The 19,607-nt window shown below is 36.4% G+C and overlaps 1 protein-coding gene across 3 annotated transcripts in view; it reads right to left on the bottom strand.

Moving 5' to 3' along the window:
- The window catches only part of XIRP2 (xin actin binding repeat containing 2), a 371,274-nt gene that overhangs the window by 74,751 nt on the left and 276,916 nt on the right, over positions 1-19,607 (bottom strand). The window contains exon 4 of one of the 3 annotated variants that reach the window (NM_001199143.2): positions 363-461. The exons of the other annotated variants lie outside the window; for them this stretch is intronic. Coding sequence (NP_001186072.1) covers positions 363-461 — 99 coding nt within the window. The remainder of the gene's footprint in view (positions 1-362; positions 462-19,607) is intronic. 3 annotated transcript variants of the gene reach the window in all.

Below are 19,607 nucleotides of genomic sequence, written 5' to 3'. Positions count from 1 at the left end.
TGACGGGTAGATGGATGGATGCATGATAGACAGACAGACAGATATAAAGGCAGAAAGATTCATAAGGTGATCCCTTGTATCACAAAACTTAGTACATTCAAATTGAAAATTTTACTCCCTATCTAATCTGATATAGATAGTGCCTAGATACCTCCACCTATTACAACCTGTATTGTACTTGACTGAAACTTACTTAAGTTCTTCTAGTGGGATGATGCTAGTAATTAGCATCAGGCCAATGCTGTCATGGAAGACAAATAGAAAGTGACATCAATTGCAGAGATAATATATGTAAGGCATCAGAGATAGCCAAACCAATGAGACCCAGAAGCAGTACAATTCAAGAAAGACGAGAACCTTACAAATATAAGTTGAGGATTTGAGGCTGTTCTTGGGGGTCTTTGTCAATTTTGGATGCAGGTGGAGCCTGAGAATCTGGGCTTGGTCCGTGGAGAACACTGCTGCTGGAAACAGAAAAACAGCAGAACCTTTGGCAATTCCATGGGACTGGAGCAACAAAACTGAAGAAGCGAGGGATCTCAAATTCTATTTTCTGTCTAAGATGTTTCCTAAATTCCAAAATTTCACAGGATAGCAGGATACAATCGTAAGGCCAAACAAAGCCCAAGAAAAGTGAAGTGGAATAGCCTACATTTTCATGCTACTTAACAAACAAGTATCTCTGAGGAGGGCTGGTAACAGTTGAAAGCCTTCAAATAACAGGGATACTGACTCTAAAATAATGTGCAACAACTGCTTGTCTTTAGAAATGGCTTGATAATCTGGGTTTAGCTGGAGGCTGAGAAATCTGTCTTGGCCCTAGCAGATGGGAGACAGATGAACCAGCAAAGGTTTTGGCATTTGATCAGGCTTGGAGTGATAAAATTGGTGCCTTGAGTATATTCAAACACAGCCAATCTCCCCCTCAAAGCATTTGCCAAATTCGGAAGCTTCGCATGGTGTGAGGCTAAATAGCCAAGCTGAAAAACCTCAGAAAATAGAGCAGGGATTCCTGCAGACTCCATGTTGAGGAGAAAAGGATCTCACGGATTCTCAAAAAAATAAATAAATAAATTAAGGCGGTCAGCGCCTCTCTGCTCTCCATTCTATCTGCTCAGCAGAGGAAAGATTTAATATCTCTGACGAAGGTCACAATCTGCAGCTTTGTTTTTGAATACACCCTGCTTACTTTCAATTATAAAAGTACTAAGCATGCAAAGAGACAGAATATTGTCATTGATACTAAAAAAAAAAACTTTTCAAGGAAGCAGGTGTTGTAGATACTTAAATTAGCAGATAAGGACTTTAAAATAATCACAATTGATATATTTAAGAAAATATAAGAAATAACACACAAAACATATGAAAAGATAGAGAATTTCATGAGAAAATTAAAATGACAAAATCACAATGAAATAGATATTCAAAATTTGAGAAATACAATACCAGAAATTAAGAAATCAATGGTAGATTTAACAGCAGATTGTAAATAGCAAAATACAAAACTTTTAATCTGGAAGACAAATGGATAAACAATAGAAAGCATGGGTATGGATATTTTTTATTAAATATCAGTAAGTACTCACTAGATTTTCAGCAGCAGTATGATATTATTGAATCATATAACTACACTCCATTAAAACCTTTGTTGCATTTGTCCTTGACAAGCTACATCTACATTCTCTCATGTTTGTTCATTTTGTGCTAAGTGAATGAAAACAGTGCCACCCCATTACTACAGCTTGCTTTTGCCTTCTAGTACAGTTGCTTTCTTCACAACTTGCAATCTATGTCTTATCCTAGTCTACAATGAAAGATATTTAGCAAAACAGAGCCCCTAACATATACAAAGCCCTTCTACTGCTAAAGACTTCCCTCTTAGGTTAAGTTGATATACGACATTAGGTCCACTTAGGAATCCATTATTTGTAGGTGTTCTTGATAACCTGAAATAAAATTGATCTGGTTAGGGTACTTCAAAATTCTATGTGCTTCTTTTCTAGGCTATGAGACATTTTGAATTCACTCCCTTTTCTATTTTGGCTGGTGCTACCATTTGCTAGGTGAAGACTATTCTCTTTGACATAAAAGACCAACATTGATTTGGCTCATGTTTATTTTCTTGTTCATTAATTAATATAAAAACTTTCCAATAAAAGTAGTAAATATTTTTTTCTTTCTTTAATTTTCCTTTAAGAGAACCATTTACATTTTATAAAGAAATTGTGCCAGCAATTTAATTAGGTGATTTACCTTTATTATTTTCTTTTATTCTGTCAGCAACCCCAAGATATTAGTGTTTTCACCATTTTATAGAAAGAAACTGAGGATGAGTGAAGTTAAATAACTTCTCCAAGGACAAAAGTTAATAATCAGCAAAAGTGGGAATTGAATTCATTTCTGCTGACTCTACATGTTTGGATTATTTGGGATATTATTTATCCTGACCTTAATCTAAAAGTTCTATACAAGCACTACGTTGGGTGATATGTTTTGAGAGGGATCAACTCTTCCCCATAATAAATTCTTAGTGTAGGCCTGCAATAGGTAGGCTCTGGCAAGGCCCTGTCTCTGCATGGTAGCAAAGCGAACTATCAGGGGAGGTATGGGAACTTTAATGCTGGGACAACTGTAGTTCAGTCATCTGATATGTAATTCTGACCCAATGGGGCCCATCTAAGGTTTTTAGAATTAAAGAGCAAACATATGAATATGAAAGTTTCATATTATTAGCTAGCATACACAAAACACTAGCCCACCAATTAGGATTTGGCAATCTGCTTTGACCCTTGTAGGTAGCATGACCCATTGACCCATTCAAGTGTCATGTAAGCATAATTAGGGTATTAGTAATTGAATTGCAGTTAAATTTAATCAGGTATAATTTACACTTGTCCAAGTTTAATTCCATTAAAATTATATCATGGTATTAATAAAGTATGAATAAGGTCTTTGGGCATATGACTCATATTTAAATCATATCTCATAGTGTTAAGTAGAGCGACCGTGATAAATTTATCATGCAAGCCAGGGGGCTTTGGGGAGTGAAGAAAGCACCATTAATAACTATGCCAACATAATGGCATAAGCTGGGATGGTCCAGGGGAAACAGGGATGCATAAACACCTGACCAATGAGCCAAATGTGGACCGTCTTGACTCACCACTGGAGCACACACTGAGTAGGATTTCTAATGATCTGGCTCCCAATATAAAAAATAAAAGTAAAACTGTTCTTTACTAGTTACGTCAGTGTTTAAAGGATCATCTCTGTCCTATAAATATAATTTTGATCAGACATATCCCTTACAATAAAGACAGGAATGAATGAAAGAACTATAGAGAATCAATGATATTTGTTCTGGAGGAAAAAAGGTAAGGTATAATAAGGAAGCTTCCTTGTTAAAAAAAATGGTGCAGGTCCAGATGTTCTTGATAGGCTTCTTGTCAACCTTCAATTAAAATAATTTAAAAAATAAAAAATAACATTAATTACTAATAATGAGAGAGAGACAGTAAGAATTTGAAGAAAAACAAGAATTTGAAGAAGACAAAGAGGAAGAGGAGTTGGAGAAGATATGCTGAAATTCGTACAGAATTTCCAATTGTGGTTATCTTTGTGAGCAACAAACGTGAATCACAGTTTTGGATGACATACTGCATAGGACAAACTCTGAGTCAGAGAAGAACAAATAGTTTCCCCAAATAATAGAGAGAGGCTTGGACTCACTCCACAGTCTAAGTTTGCTTTGACCAAAACTAGGTGGGCTCACCAATTCCGTGTAAACATCTTCTGGACCAGCCCAAGCCACAGCCCTGCCTCTGCTACACCCCTACCCCATCATTATATACCTATGCACACACCATGTCTCTCAAGAGAAAAGGAAAAGATAGGGATGTGTTGTTAGGTTTTTAAGGGAACAATGCTTTAGAGAAGGGATGGTGGAACTCTGTAATATTTCATGGTTTGTACCATACAAAAGGAAGTTTACACATTGTATCTGAAAACACAAGTTAGGATTGTAAGGTATAGGATAGAAGTCATAATTCTATTCAGCAACTTTGCACAGTATCAGTAATTCAAGATTTTAGATATAATTCAGAAGGAAAAGAAAAATCAATGGGAGAAATTACAGGATCCAAGTATTTAGTGATGGCACAATAAGAAAAATGTACTCATCTTATTGAAAGGAAATGGTGGACCTCAGTCAATGAAGACCCAATGCAAGTGAAGTAAGTGGACAAGGTAGAATAAAGAGGCACTGCTCAACAATGGTAAGGGACAGTGACTGAATGAGGCACAGAACTGATCAAGTTTATTAGTTTATTCCAAAATACCTGAAAAAGTCACAAAGATACAAGCTACATTCTTGATGTGCTCAAAAAGATTCAGGGAGAGAAGCTTCTATGAAAGTGGATTAGCTGTTATTAAGGAGACAATAAAATGAAATAAAATAACGAAAACAGTGAAGACTAAAATAGACTGCAAAAAATGCAAAATTCAACAGAAAAATTAAAATGGCACTTGATACAGAAAAGAGCACATATAAAAATGAAATTCAATCAATGTAATGGGGAAAATTTTGAGAAATTTTTCCATAACACAGGAGCAAAATCAAAGAGATGAAAATGAAGACCTAGATAAGGATTAATATGAAGGAAGAGGTATGATCAAAGAAACATAACTGTTTCAGAGGAGGAAAGAGCAAAATAGCACAGAAATAAATATTAAATTTAAAAGGAAAGAAAAAGTTTTTGAGGTGAAGTAAGATCTGAGATGACAAAACCAAAGGCTCAAGACATCTGGATATGCCCTTATAAATTTTTGAATTTTAAAGATTAAAAAGTAATGAATAAAGAAAAAAGACAACTGATCTCAGAGTTCTTCAGTAAGATACGCACTATGAAACAGTGGAATATTAAGTGAAAGGTGTTTCAAGTTTGTTTGTTTTTGTAATGGACATAGATTTGAACAGATAACTCTATTTGTAGACAACTTTCTGTTATTTATGTATGAAGAATATAGAGGCATATTTTAGAATATATAAAAAATTTCTGATCAGGTGCAGTGGCCCATGCCTGTAATCCAGTACTTTGGGTGTGTGGGGCGAAAGGATGACCTGAGCCCAGGAGTTTGAGAAGAGCCTAGACAACATAGGGAGATCCTGTCTCCACAAAAACACACACACACACAAATTTAGGCCAGTGCAGTGGCACATGCCTATAGTCCCAGCTACGTTAGAGGCTGAGGTAAGAGCATCTCTTGAGCTCTGAAGTCAAGGCTGCAGTGAGTAGTGATCATGCCACTGCACTCCAGCTTGGGCAACAGAGCAAGACCCTGTCTCAAAAAAAAAAAAAAAATTATCAGATAAAGAAAATGATTAGGCTGGGTGCGGTGGCTCACGCCTGTAATCCCAGCACTTTGGGAGGCCAAGGTGGGCAGATCATGAGGTCAGGAGTTCGAGAGCAGCCTGGCTAATACGGTGAAACCCTGTCACTACTAAAGATACAAAAAATTAGCCAGGTGTGGTGGTGCACCCCTGTAATCCCAGCTACTCAGGAGGCTGAGGCAGAAGAATCGCTTGAACCCGGGAGGTGGAGGTTGCAGTGAGCCGAGATGGCGCCATTGCACTCCAGCCTGGGCAACAGGGAGAGACTTTGTCTCAAAAAAAAAAAAAAACAAGAAAAAAAGAAAATGATTAATGTGTCCTCACTGGGGAAGCGACTAAAATATATCTGCAAGCTCACAAAAGAAGATTCCAAGTTAAGAGTAAAGAACGGGAAGCTTATTGTATAAAAAGACATTATTTGCATTAAAACCAAACAAATATTGTAATTGCAGTTATAAAATTGGATGTAAAATTAAAATATTCCTTGAAAAATATACATAAAAAGAACACAGCTTTAGTATATATAACATTATTATATTATGTTAATAATGTAATGATTCAAGGATCTAGTCTTAGATTAAAATATATCCTGTGTCATTTACTATCGAGAGTGGAGAAAAGCAGGAGAAATAAAATTTAGTTGAATATTTTGGAGATTGATGATTTATTCAGTCATTCAGTCATACATTCTTTCACTGAGAAAGTTTTCAAATGTTTATTGAACAACTCTGTGTGAAGTGCTATGCTAGATATGATGTTTACAGATGAACAAAACATCCATGGGCCTTAGTAACACACGAATAGATATGTATAAAACGGGATAAGTTTATGAAGGAGAAGAAATCAGTAGTGTGAGGAAAAAAAGCAAAAAGTTTAATTTGAGTGGTCCAGAAAAACACCTTAAGGTGGTCATCAAATTTTAAATTTCATCAGGAGAATAAATACAAAAAGAAAAAAAAAAGTGAAGTAAAAAACTTATGAACAAATATGGCTCACTAGCCTACACAAAAATTACTATTTACAAAGCTGTATTAATTAAATGCTGTGAAATTAGCAGAAAAATGAGCATTATTTTTTAGTGGAATAAAAATAACCATCCCGAATCAAACAATAGTGTTTAGTAAAGGTAACAAAATGGAAGAAATTTGTCAAACAGCCTTTGGAAACCCAACTAAGTAACTAGAAATAAATTATTTTAAAAGCTCACATTATACTTCATTTCAAAATATATTCCAAGCTAATTAAATACCTCAGTTTAAATGCAGTTAGTAAGTATAAGAAACAGAAATGTGTTTTTCATAGTTATATGTTGAGTCAACATTTCATACAGCACAAGAAATTATGCATAAAACATCTTCTCTAAAAAAGCACTCAATCCTTTTTAATATAGGTAACTGATTGCTGTTAAGTTTTTCATGTATCCTGAAATGTTCTCTGTATACAGGCACATATATGTGTTCATATTTGAATAAAACACATGTACAAATAACATGTATATATATGAAACAATACTTTTCACCTTTCTACAAATGGGAGAATTATATACCCAGTGCTCCACATTTGCTTTTTTTTTTTTTGTTTTTACTGAATAATGTTGCAAATCAATTTCTGTTAGCATAAGAAAATCTTATAAATCTTAACGGTCATTGTATGGACATACCATATTCCATTTAGTTAGTCTCCTATTTGTGGTTGTTTAGGTTGCTTCCAGAATTCTTCTATTAGAAAAAACGATGCAATCAATAATCTCAAACCTGTGTGTGCTTGACATATTAAGGGCTACATGCCTCTAATACATATGAGAGATATTGACAAATGCCCTCTAAAGGGCTAAATTACAGTTATTGCCAATTTAATCTTCTACCACTGGTATACGAGAGTACTGTCAAACAGTTGGATATTTGCATATCTGATAGATAAGTGTAGTGTTTCATTATTTAAATTTATATGAATATATTAATTTGGAGTGAGGCAAAGCAACACATGAATATTTAACTGACTTTAAAAATATAAACTTATCTTTCTCATAAGGGCAAAAACCTAGACAATCTAAATGCCTACAAATTGAGAATTTGTTAAGCAAATTAATATACATTATAGAATGATTATAAGCAGACTTTTTTTATAAAATGTTTTTGAAGAATACTTAATAACATGGAAAAGTGTTCACATTAGATGTCAATGCAACTTCAGATTTCCCTTAGGATGCAGGAAATTGCAACAGAAAACATTCTTAAAATAACAATGAGCTGAATACTCTACATTCATACATATAAATATAGAATTACAGTATTGTTTTAAGTCCATCTGAAAACCAAGGTTATAGGAGAAACCTAATGAACTGAAATGAAAAAGAAATGATAAGCTCTATCTATGAGATTAGAGACAATTATTGTTTTCATCTTTAGCACATCACTGGGAGGAGGAAGCTACCATAGATGTAGATAAAACAAAAACAGCTGAGCTATTAATTATTCTTAAAAGTAGATTTGGGCTAGTGTGACATTTAAAAATCCTTTTAAGTCCAAGGCACAAAGAAGATCTACGCCTGCCCACCAACTGTCTCCCATAGAAGTTCACTCAGCTGCAATGAGATCTACTGGTGGAAGGATTGAAGAGAGAAACCTCACAATCAGCTTGGTCCCTTAATCTGAGTGCAAGACAGTGACCATGTACAAATGAATTAGGGACAGAGGAGCAGACAGACACATCCCTCCCCAACACAGGTGACTGGGTTCTCTGGAAGTCTGAAAGGAGTGCAGGGGAGCTAAGACAAACCATTCAGAAACTCAACTACCAGGACTTGCTAAACAATGATTCCAATTCCACTCACTAATGTAAATCCTCTGGTGAACTAAATATAACAAAGACAATCATAGAACTGATACATAGCTAATCTGTAGACTAAATTGACTTACCCCACACTAACAACCTTACAAAATAAATATGCCCTTTACTGAGAGGGCATAATATTTATTTCAGCTTGTTCTGTTCTTTACACAAGATGTCCAGTACTCAATTAAAAAATCATGAAGCCCCAAAGGAAGCAAGAACACGTGACCTACCATAAAAGAAAACACAGTCAATAGAGCTGGAGGCAAAGATGGCTTAGATGTTAAAATTATTCAATAGAAACTTTAGAATAGAGAGGGGACTGGCAAGATGGTTGAATGGGAACAGCTCCGGTCTGCAGCTCCAGCGAGATCAATGCAGAAGGCGGGTGATATCTGCATTTCCAACTGGGTTACTCATCTCATCTCATTGGGACTGGTAAGACAGTGGGTGCAGCCCACGGAGGGCGAGCAGAAGGGTGGGGCATTGCCTCACGTGGGAAGTGTAAGGGGTCAAGAACTCCCTCCCCTGGCCAAGAGAAGGCCCTTCGTTTCAAGCACGAAACTGGGCAGCTGTTTGGGCAGACACTGAGCTAGCTGCAGGAGTTTTATTTTCATACTCCAGTTGGCACCTGGAATGCCAACGAGACAGAACCGTTCACTCCCCTGGAAAGGGGGCTGAAGCCAGGGAGCCAAGTGGTCTAGCTCAGCAGATCCCACCCCCATGGAACCCAGCAAACTAAGATCCATTGGCTTGAAATTCTCGCTGCCAGCACAGCACTCTGAAGTCGACCTGGGATGCTCAAACTTGGTAAGGGAAGGGACGTCCACCATTACTGAGGCTTGAGTAGGTGGTTTTTCCCTCACAGGGTAAACAAAGCCGCTGGGTACCACAGCTAGGCAAAGCTGCTGTAGCCAGACTGCCTCTCTAGATTCCTCCTCTTGGGGCAGGGCATCTCTGAAAGAAAGGCAGCAGCCCCAGTCAGGGGCTTATAGATAAAATCCCCAACTCCCTGGGACAGAGCACCTGGGGGAAGGGGCAGCTGTGGGAGCAGCTTCAGCAGACTTAAACATTCCTGACTGCTGGCTCTGAAGAGAGTAGTGCATCTCCAAGGACAGCGTTCAAGCTCTGTTAAGGGACATGACTGCCTCCTCAAGTGGTTCCCTGAACCGCCTGCCTCCTGCCTGGGAGACACCTCCCAGCAGGGGTCAACAGACACCTCATACAGGATAGCTCCAGCTGGCATCTGGCAGGTGCCCCTCTGGGATGAAGCTTCCAGAGGAAGGAACAGGCAGCAATCTCTGCTGTTCTGCAGCCTCCACTGGTGATACCTAGGCAAACAGGGACTGGAGTGGACCTCCAGCAAACTCCAGCACACCTGCAGCAGAGGGGCCTGACTGTTAGAAGGAAAACTAACAAACAGAAAGGAATAGCATTAACATCAACAAAAAGGACATCCACTACATAATGGTAAAGGGATCAATTCAACAAGAAGAGCCAACTATCCTAAATATACATGCACCCAATACAGGAGCACCCAGATTCATAAAGTAAGTTCTAAAGTAAGTTCTCCCACACAATAATAGTGGGAGAATTTAGCACCCCACTGTCAATAGTAGACAGATCAACGAGACAGAAAGTTAACAAGGATATTCAGGACTTGAACTCAGCTCTGGACAAAGCAGACCTAATAGACATCTACAGAACTCTCCACCCCAAATCAACAGTGTATACATTCTCAGCACCACATCATCCTTATTCTAAAATTGACCACATAATGGGAAGTAAAACACTCCTCAGCAAATACAAAAGAATGGAAATCATAACAAACAGTCTCTCAGACCACAGTGCAATTAAATTAGAACTCAAGATTAAAAAACTCACTTAAAACCACATAACTACATGGAAACTAAACAACTTGCTCCTGAATGACTACTGGGTATATAATAAAATTAAGGCAGAAATAAATAAGCTCTTTGAAACTAGTGAGAACAAAGACTCAATATACCAGAATCTCTGTGACACAGATAAAACAGTGTTTAGAGGGAAGTTTATAGCACTAAAAATTGACACCCTAACATCACAATTAAAAGAACTAGAGAAGCAAGAGCAAACAAATTCAAAAGCTAGCAGAAGACAAGAAATAACTAAGATCAGAGCAGAACTGAAGGAGATAGAGACACGAAAAGCCCTTCAAAAATCAATGAATCCAGCAGCTTGTTTTTTGAAAAGATTAACAAAATAGATAGATTGCTAGCCAGACTAATAAAGAAGAAAAGAGAGAAGAATCAAATAGACACAATAAAAAACAATAAAGGGGAGCTCACCACTGATCCCACAGCAATACAAGCTACCATCAGAGAATATTATAAACATCTCTCAGCAAATCAAATAAAAAATCTAGATGAAATGGATAAATTGCTGGACATATACACCCTCCCAAGACTAAACCAGGAAGAAGTTGAATCCCTGAATAGACCAATAACAGGCTCTGAAATTGAGGCAGTAATTAATAGCCTACCAACCAAAACAAGCCCAGGACCAGACAGATTCACAGCCGAATTCTACCAGAAGTACAAACAGGAGTTGGTACCATTCCTTCTGAAACTATTCCAAACAATAGAAAAAGAGGGACTCCTCCCTAACTCATTTTATGAGGCCAGAATCATCTTGATACTGAAACCTGGCAGAGAAACAACAAAAAAAGAAAATTTCAGGCCCATATCCCTGATGAACATCGACACGAAAATCCTCAATAAAATACTGGCAAACCGAATCCAGCAGCACATCAAAAAGCTTATCCACCATGATCAAGTTGGCTTCATCCCTGGGATGCAAGGCCAGTTCAACATATGGTTGACACAGCCAAACCATATCAAATGGCAAACAGGCATATGAAAAAGTGCTCACCATCACTGATCATCAGAGAAATGCAAATCAGAACTGTAATGAGATATCATGTCACCCAATCCAAAAGCCAGGCATTAATAAAGGCTGGTGAGGTTGTGGAGAAAAGAGAACCCTAGTACACTGTAAGTAAATATGTAAATTAGTATATTTACTATGGAGAACAGTTTGGGGTTCCTCAAAAACCTAAAAATAGAGCTACCATACTATCCAACAATCCCACTGCTGGGTATATTTCCTCAAAAAAGGGAAATCAATGTATTGAAGAGATATCTGCACTCTCATGTTTATTGCAGCCTTCTTCACAATAGCCAAGATTTGGAAGCAACCTAAATGTCCATCAACAGATAAATGGATAAAGAAAATGTGGTGCTTATACACAATGGAGTAGTATTCAGCCATGAAAATTAATGAGATTCTGTCATTTACAACAACATGGATGAAAATGGAGGTCACTATGTGAAGTGAAATAAGCCAGGTACAGAAAGACAAACTCCGCATGTTCTCACTTGTTTGTGGGATCTAAAAACCAAAGCATTGAAGTCATGGACATAGACGGTAAAAGGATGGTTATCAGAGGCTGAGAAGCATAGTGTGGTGTTGTCAGGGAGGGAAGTGAAGATGGTTAATGGGTCCAAAAAAAGTTAGAAAGAATTAATAGGAACTATTTGACAGCACAACAGGGGGACTATAGTCAATAATAATTTAATTGTACATTTAAAAATAAAATAGCATAATTGGGTTGTTTTTAACACAAAGGATAAATGCTTGAGGGAATGGATACACTGTTGAAGGAAGTCAGGGACCCCGGATGGAGGGACCGGCTGAAGCCATGTCAGAAGAACATAAATTGTGAAGATTTCATGGACATTTATTAGTTCCCCAAATTAATACTTTTATAATTTCTTACGCCTGTCTTTACTGCAATCTCTGAACATAAATTGTGAAGATTTCATGGACATTTATCACTTCCCCAATCAATACTCTTGTGATTTCCTATGCCTGTCTTTACTTTAATCTCTTAATCCCATCATCTTCGTAAGCTGAGGATGAATGTCACCTCAGGACCCTGTGATGATTGCATTAACTGCACAAATTGTTTAAACAATATGAAATCTGGGCACCTTCAAAAAAGAACAGGATAACAGTGATGTTCAGAGAATAAGGGAAATGACCATTAGGTCTGGCTGCCTGAGAGCTGGGTGGAACAGAGCCATCTCTTCTTTCAAAAGCAAATAGGAGAAATATCACTGAATTCTTTTTCTCAGCAAGGAACAGCCCTGAGAAAGAGAATGTGTTCCTAGGGGTAGGCCTCTAAAATGGCCGTTCTGGGGACGTCTGTCTTTTATAGTTGTGGATAAGGGATGAAATAAGCCCCAGTCTCCCATAGTGCTCCCAGGCTTATTAGGATGAGGAAATTCCTGCCTAATAAATTTTGGTCAGACTGCTTGTCTGCTCTCAAACCCTGTCTCCTGATAAGAGGTTATCAATGACAATGCGTGCCCGAAACTTCATTAGCAATTTTAATTTTGCCCCGGTCCTGTGATCTTGCCCTGCCTCCATTTGTCTTGTGATATTTTATTACCTTGTGAAGCATGTGATCTCTGTGACCCACACCCTATTTGTACGCTCCCTCCCCTTTTGAAAATCACTAATAAAAACTTGTTGGTTTTGCGGCTTGGGGAGCATCACGGAACCTGCCGACATGTGATGTCTCCCCTGGACACCCAGCTTTAAAATTTCTCTCATTTGTAATCTTTCCCTTTATTTCTCAGACCGGCCAACACTTAGGGAAAATAGAAAAGGACTCACATTGAATTATCGGGGGCGGGTTCCCCTGATCATACATAATTTTCCATGATGTGATTACTACGCATCGCATGCCTGTACCAAAATATTTCATGTACCCCGTAAATATATACACCTATTTTATGCCCACAACAATTAAAAATAAAAAGTACATTTAAAACATGTGTCATGAAGACACTAAGAATGGGAAAACTAATGTGGCTATATTGATGTCAGAAAAAGTAGACTTTGAGGTTAAGAGTGTGTAGGATATAAAATGGTGCATGCCACAGTGATTAAAAAGGACCAATTTATGAAGAAGACATAGGATTCTTAAATCCATATATACCTAATAACAAAACTTAAACACTTGAATTAAAAAACTCAGAACTAAGGAAGAAATAAATTCACAATCATAGTTGGGAGCTTTAACATCTCTTTCCATACTTGACAGAATAAGCAGACTAATATCGGTGAATATGTAGAAAACTTGAAAACATTATCATCTGTTTGACTTAGTTGACATGTATAAAACACCAGCCTAATAACAGAATGCATATTCTTCTCAAGTGAACATAAAATAATTATTATTAAAAAACCATCTATATATATAGCAAACTAGTAATTCCTACATAGTATGTTCCTTGAGCACAATTACATTAAATTAGAAATCAGTAACAATAAGATACCTAAAAGTGTTCTAAATATTTCTAAATAAAACAACCCATTTCAAAGTACCCCATGAGTAGAAGAATAAATCAGAAAAACAATTAAAATAAAATTTTAAGTGAATGATAATGCTAAAAACATGTTTAAATTGTAGAATGCAGTTGTAGCAGTAACTAGCCAGACATTTTTAGCGCTAAATGCATCTATTAAAATAAAGAGGGCGGGTGCAGTGGCTCACACCTGTAATCCCAGCACTTTGGGAGGCTGAGGTGGACAGATCACCTGAGGTCAGGAGTTCGAGACCAGCCTGGCCAACATGGCAAAACTCCTTCTCTACTAAAAATACAAAAATTAGCTGGGTATGGTGGTGTGCACTTGTAATCCCAGCTACCCAGGAGGCTGAGGCAGGAGAATCACTTGAACCCTGGAGGCGGAGGGTGCAGTGAGCTGAGATTGGGCCACTGCACTCCAGCCTGGGCAACAGAGAAAGACTCTGTCTCAAAAAAAAAAAAAAAAAAAAAAAGAAGAAAGGCAAAAAGAGAAGTTTTACCTTAGCAGCTGAAAAAAGAAGAGTAAAATAAAGTGAAAGCAAGTTGAAGAATGGAAATAGGAAAAATAAGATTAGAAATCCATATAATAGAAATGTACCATAAAGATAAAGCAAAACTAGTTGCTTTATTAATTAATAAAATTGCTAACGTCTAGCAAGATTGCTTAAAATAGAGGAGAAAATAGAAATTATCAGTAGTAGGACTGAAATATTGAACGTCACTACAGATATTGCAGATTTTAAAAGGAAAAATAAGAGAGCATTGATAATCAATTTTTTGTCAGTAAATAGACAACTCAGATGATGTGAATCAATTCTTTGAAAAGATACCACTAATCACAAGCAACACAAGAAATAAAATATACAAATAGCTCTATATTCAGTAAATGAATTGTAATTTTAATTTAAATTATCTCCCCACTGAAAAATATCCAAGTGTATATGACTTCATTGGTAAATTCTATCAAAGATGTAATAAAGAAATAATACCAATATTTCCTAAAATTTTTTTCAGAAAAATAGAGGGAAGAAACACTTCCTGACATGTTTTTTTGAAGCCTACCTAACCCTGATACTAACATCAGGCAAGGGAATTAAAAGAAAGAGAAGTTAAAGACCAATATTTCTCCTGAGCATAAACTCAAAAATCTCAACATATTAGAAACTTAAATATAGCAATATAATAAAGAGATCATTTAAAAAAATTTTTAAAAGTTCTTTATCATTGCAATAACTGAAGAAACGTACTTGGCAGCATTCAATACTCACTTATGATTAAAACTCTCAACAAAGACTAATATGAAACTCAACAAAGAGCAGGTACAAAATTCCTTACAGCTAATGTCACACAATAAAATGAATGCTTTTTCTATATTAAGAATGAGATGATGATGTCTACTCTCACCTCTTCCACTTAGTATCATATTAGAGTGCCTTACAAGTATAATAGGGCAAGAAAAATAAATATAAGACAAAATGATCAGCAAGGAAGAAGTACAGCTCTCATTATTCCATCATAACCATATATTCAACAATGTCCAAAAATTACTATAACTAATAAAACCACAAACATAGCTATACACCCAGTAGATATGGCAAGCTCACAAGGTATACAATATACCCAAATAAATACTGTTTCTAAATACTAGCTGCAAACAATCAGAAAATAAAATTAAAGAAACTTTACCACTTAAAAGCATTTAAAAGGAGACTTCCAGTTTCTGGTCCAGTATGTAATAAGCTTGGAGGTTACCCCTCACTCAGTCTTGAGAAGTCAAAAGCTGAACTAACTGAAAAATCAACTCTTCTTAGATCTATCAGAAAAGTGAGGTCACAGGGCAAACTGCTGTCAAGATTGGAGATACTAATAGATAAATACACAGAACCAAAACTTACCAGTGCAGAAACTCTAAACAGTAACCTCTACAAGAACCAGTGCTGGAGAAGGCAAAAGTGAACTGTACTTGAGGAGTTATTGGAGGTCCAGTGTGGACTACTCTGAGACTTAAAAATCCCAGGGCCACGCAGTCATAGGAGAGCCCCTACATTTTTGTAAGTTTTGCCTTCAGGAGCACTACCTGGTCTTCACAACAAATAAATTAAAAAGTCACCTCACGTTTTTGGTGTCAGAGAGGGGAAAAAGAATCATTTTGAAATAAACTAGAGAATTATGTTCTGAACAGAGTTTGCCGTCAAGGAGAAACTATTTAACCAGAGCCTAATCATAGGACTATAAAAGCCTTCCTCTCCCCCAACACCTTACCACTATACTACTAAAGGTTCATTTACAGCATTCCTTTTACCTAGTATATCATGTCTGACTATGAATAAAACGCAAACAATATAATCTGAAGAGACAAACTCAAAGTCAGACTCAGATATGGCAGGGACGTTGGAATTATCAGACTAGAAATTTAAAATAACTATGATTAATATGCTAAGGGCCCTAATGGATAAAGAAGAGCGCATGCAAGATCAGATAGGTAATGCACTTTGGGAGGCTGAGGCAGGCGGATCACGAGGTCAGGAGATCGAGATCATCCTGGCTAACAGGGTGAAACCCCATCTCTACTAAAAATACAAAAAATTAGCCGGGCGTGGTGGTGGGCACCTATAGTCCCAGCTACTTGGGAGGCTGAGGCAGGAGAATGGTGTGAACCCGGGAGGCGGAGCTTGCAGTGAGCAGAGATCATGCCACTGCCCTCCAGCCTGGGCGACAGAGCGAGACTCCGTCTCAAAAAACAAAAACAAAAACAAACAAACAAAAAATAAGAAAAAACCAAAAAGGAATGCTAGAGATGCAAAACACTATAACAGAATTGAAGAATGTTTTTGATGGACTTATTAATAGACTGAATACAGCTGAGGAAAGTACCTCTCAGTTGAGAATATCTCAATAGACATGCCCCAAATTAAAAAACAAACAAAACAAAACAAAATCAAACAAAAAACCAGGACAGAATATCCCAGAACCATGAGACAACTTACAAAAAAAAATGTAATGGGACTCTCAGAAGGAGAAGATAGAGAGAAAGAAACAGAAAAAATATTTGAAATAATAATGACTGAGAGTTTCCCGCAAAGTAATGTTAGACACCAAACCACAAACCCAGAAAGCGCAGAGAACACTGAACAAGATAAATGTCAGAAAGTCTACACGTAGTCATATTATTTTTAAACTACAGAAAATCAAGATTAAAGAAAAAATCCTGAAAGAAGCTGCAATTAAAAACAGAAACAGACAAGCTCACCTAATGAATAGCATAGATAAGAATTATATTTGACTTGTCATCAGAAACCCTGCAAGCAAGAAGAGAGTGAAGTGAAATATACAAGTGTTGAGAGGAAAATACCACCAACTAGAATTATGTATCCTGTCCTTCAAAAGTCAGGAGGAAATACTTTCTCTGATTTTAAAAAAATGAGGAAATTTGTTGCCAGTAGAATTGTGTTGGAAGAAATATTAAAGTAAGTCATTTAGAAAGAAGAAAAATGATATAGGTCAGAAAGGTGGATCTACATAAGAAAGAATAAGCATCAAAGAAGGAATGAATGAAGACTAAATAAAAATCTTTATTTTTCTTATTCTTAATTGATCTAACATAATTATTCAAAATAATAATAGCAATAATGTATTTGATTATATATGCTTATGTATGTGCTATATGTTTATGTATGTTTATATGTAAGTGAAATGAATGACAGCAATGATACAAGGGATAGGAGGGAGGAATTAGGATTATTATGTATTATAAGGTACTTGCACTACCCATACTACCCATGAAGTGGTACAGAGCTGTTAGAAAGTGGACTTGGATTAGTTGTAAGTATATATTGCAAATTTGAGAACAACTACTAAAAAAAGTTTTAAAAAAGTACAATATGCTAAGACTGGAGAGAAAATAAAATCACACTAAATGCTCAATTAATATCACAAAAAGCATAAAAAGAATGGTGGAAGACAAAAACAACAGGAGCAACTGATATAAAAAGTAACAAATATGAAAAATATTAATCTAACTATATTAGTAATCACTTTGAATGTCAGTGGTCTAAATATACCAATTAAATACAGAGATCGTCAGAGTAGATCAAAAAATAAGACCTGACTATATGTTATCTACAAGAAACCCACTTTAAATACAAAGAGATATATAGAATAAAAGTAAATGGATAAAGAAAGGTATACCATGTTAACATTAATTAAAAGAAAGCAGGAATAGCTATATTATTTTCAAATGGAGCAAACTTGACAGCAAGGTAATTTATAAGGGGTAAAAGGGGTATTGCATATTGACAAAGGATGCAGTTGTTCAACACAACAATATTTAATGTGTATATACTTAAAAATAGAGCATCAAACTATGAGAGGCACAAACTGATAAAAGTGCAAGGAGAAATAGATACATGTATTTTTATGGTTGGAAACTTCAACAATCCTGTAACAAATGGACAGATCCAGCAGGCAGAAAATCAGTAAGAACATAGTTGAATCCAACAACACCATTGATATAATTTGGATGTTTGTCCCTCCCAAATCTCATGTTGAGATGTAATCCCCAGTGTTGGTGTTGAGGCCTCGTGGAAGGTGTTTGGATCATCGGGGCAGATCCCTCATGAATGGCTTAGTGACATGCCCTTGGTGATGAGTGAGTTCTTGCTGTGAGTTCACATGAGATCTGATTGTTTAAAAGAGTGCCACACATCCCTGCTTTGCTCTCTCTTGCCACGTGACTTGCCGGATCCCTCTTTGCCTTCTGCCATGATTGTAAGTGCCCTGAGCCCTCACCAGAAGCAGGTGCAAGCCCAAATAACCACTTTTCTTTATAAATTATCCAGGGTCAGGAACTTCTTCATAGCAACGCAAAAACAGATGAACACAACCATCAATCAACTGTATATAATAGATATCTATAGACTACTTTATGCAAAAATAGCACAATACACATTCTTTTCAGGTTCACATGGAACACTCAGTAAGACAGACCATATTCTAGGCCATAAAATACACATTTCTAAATTTAAAAGAATAGAAATTATGCAATGTCTATCCTTAGACTACAATGGAATTAAGTTAGAAATTAATAACAGAATGAAATGAGAAAATTCCCAAAAATATGGATATTAAACAACATACTGCAAGAAAGTGTGACATGCATCAAAGAAAAAAAACCTCAAGATATTTAAAATATTTTGAGCTAAATGAAAATAGAAATACAACTTATCAAAATTTGTAGCCAACTGATTTTAGACAAACAAGCATAGGCAATACAATGGAGAGTGACTTTTCAACAAATGGTATTGGAACAAGTGGACATCCATATACAAAAATTAAGCTAGACATAAACCTAACATGTTTTATAAAAAAATTCTAATGGATCACGGACCTAAATGTAAAGTGCAAAACTACAAAACTCCTAGAAGGTAAGATAATACAAAATCTAGATGACCTAGGGTTTGGTGACGACTTTTTAGATACAACATCAATAACATAATCCATGAGAGAACAAATAAGCTGGAATTCATTAAAATTAGAAATTTCTGCTCCATGAAAGACAGCATCAAGAGAATAAAAAGGCAAGCCATGGCCTGGGAGAAAATAATTTGCAAAAGACTTATCTGATAAGGGACTGTTATCCAAAATATACAAAGAATGCCTACAACTCAACAATAAGAAAACAACCCAATTAAACAACAGGCCAAACATTTTAACAGACACCTCACCAAAAAGGACATGCAGATAGCAAATAAGCACTTAAAAAGAGGCTCCACATCATCGTCAAAGAACTTCAAGTTAAAACAACAATGAGAGAACACTATACACCCAGTAGAATCGTCCACCTCCAGCAACAGACAACATCAAATTCTGGTGGAGATGTGGATCAACAGGAACTGTCATTCATTGCTGGTGGAAATGCAAAATTGTACAGCCACTTTGGAAGGCTGCTTAGTGATTTCTTATAAAACTAAACA

Source organism: Homo sapiens, chromosome 2 (assembly GCF_000001405.40).
Source record: "Homo sapiens chromosome 2, GRCh38.p14 Primary Assembly".
Classification (NCBI taxonomy): Eukaryota; Metazoa; Chordata; class Mammalia; order Primates; family Hominidae; genus Homo; species Homo sapiens.
Note: the sequence above shows the minus strand (reverse complement) of the source record. Positions and strands in the feature narration are given on the sequence as shown.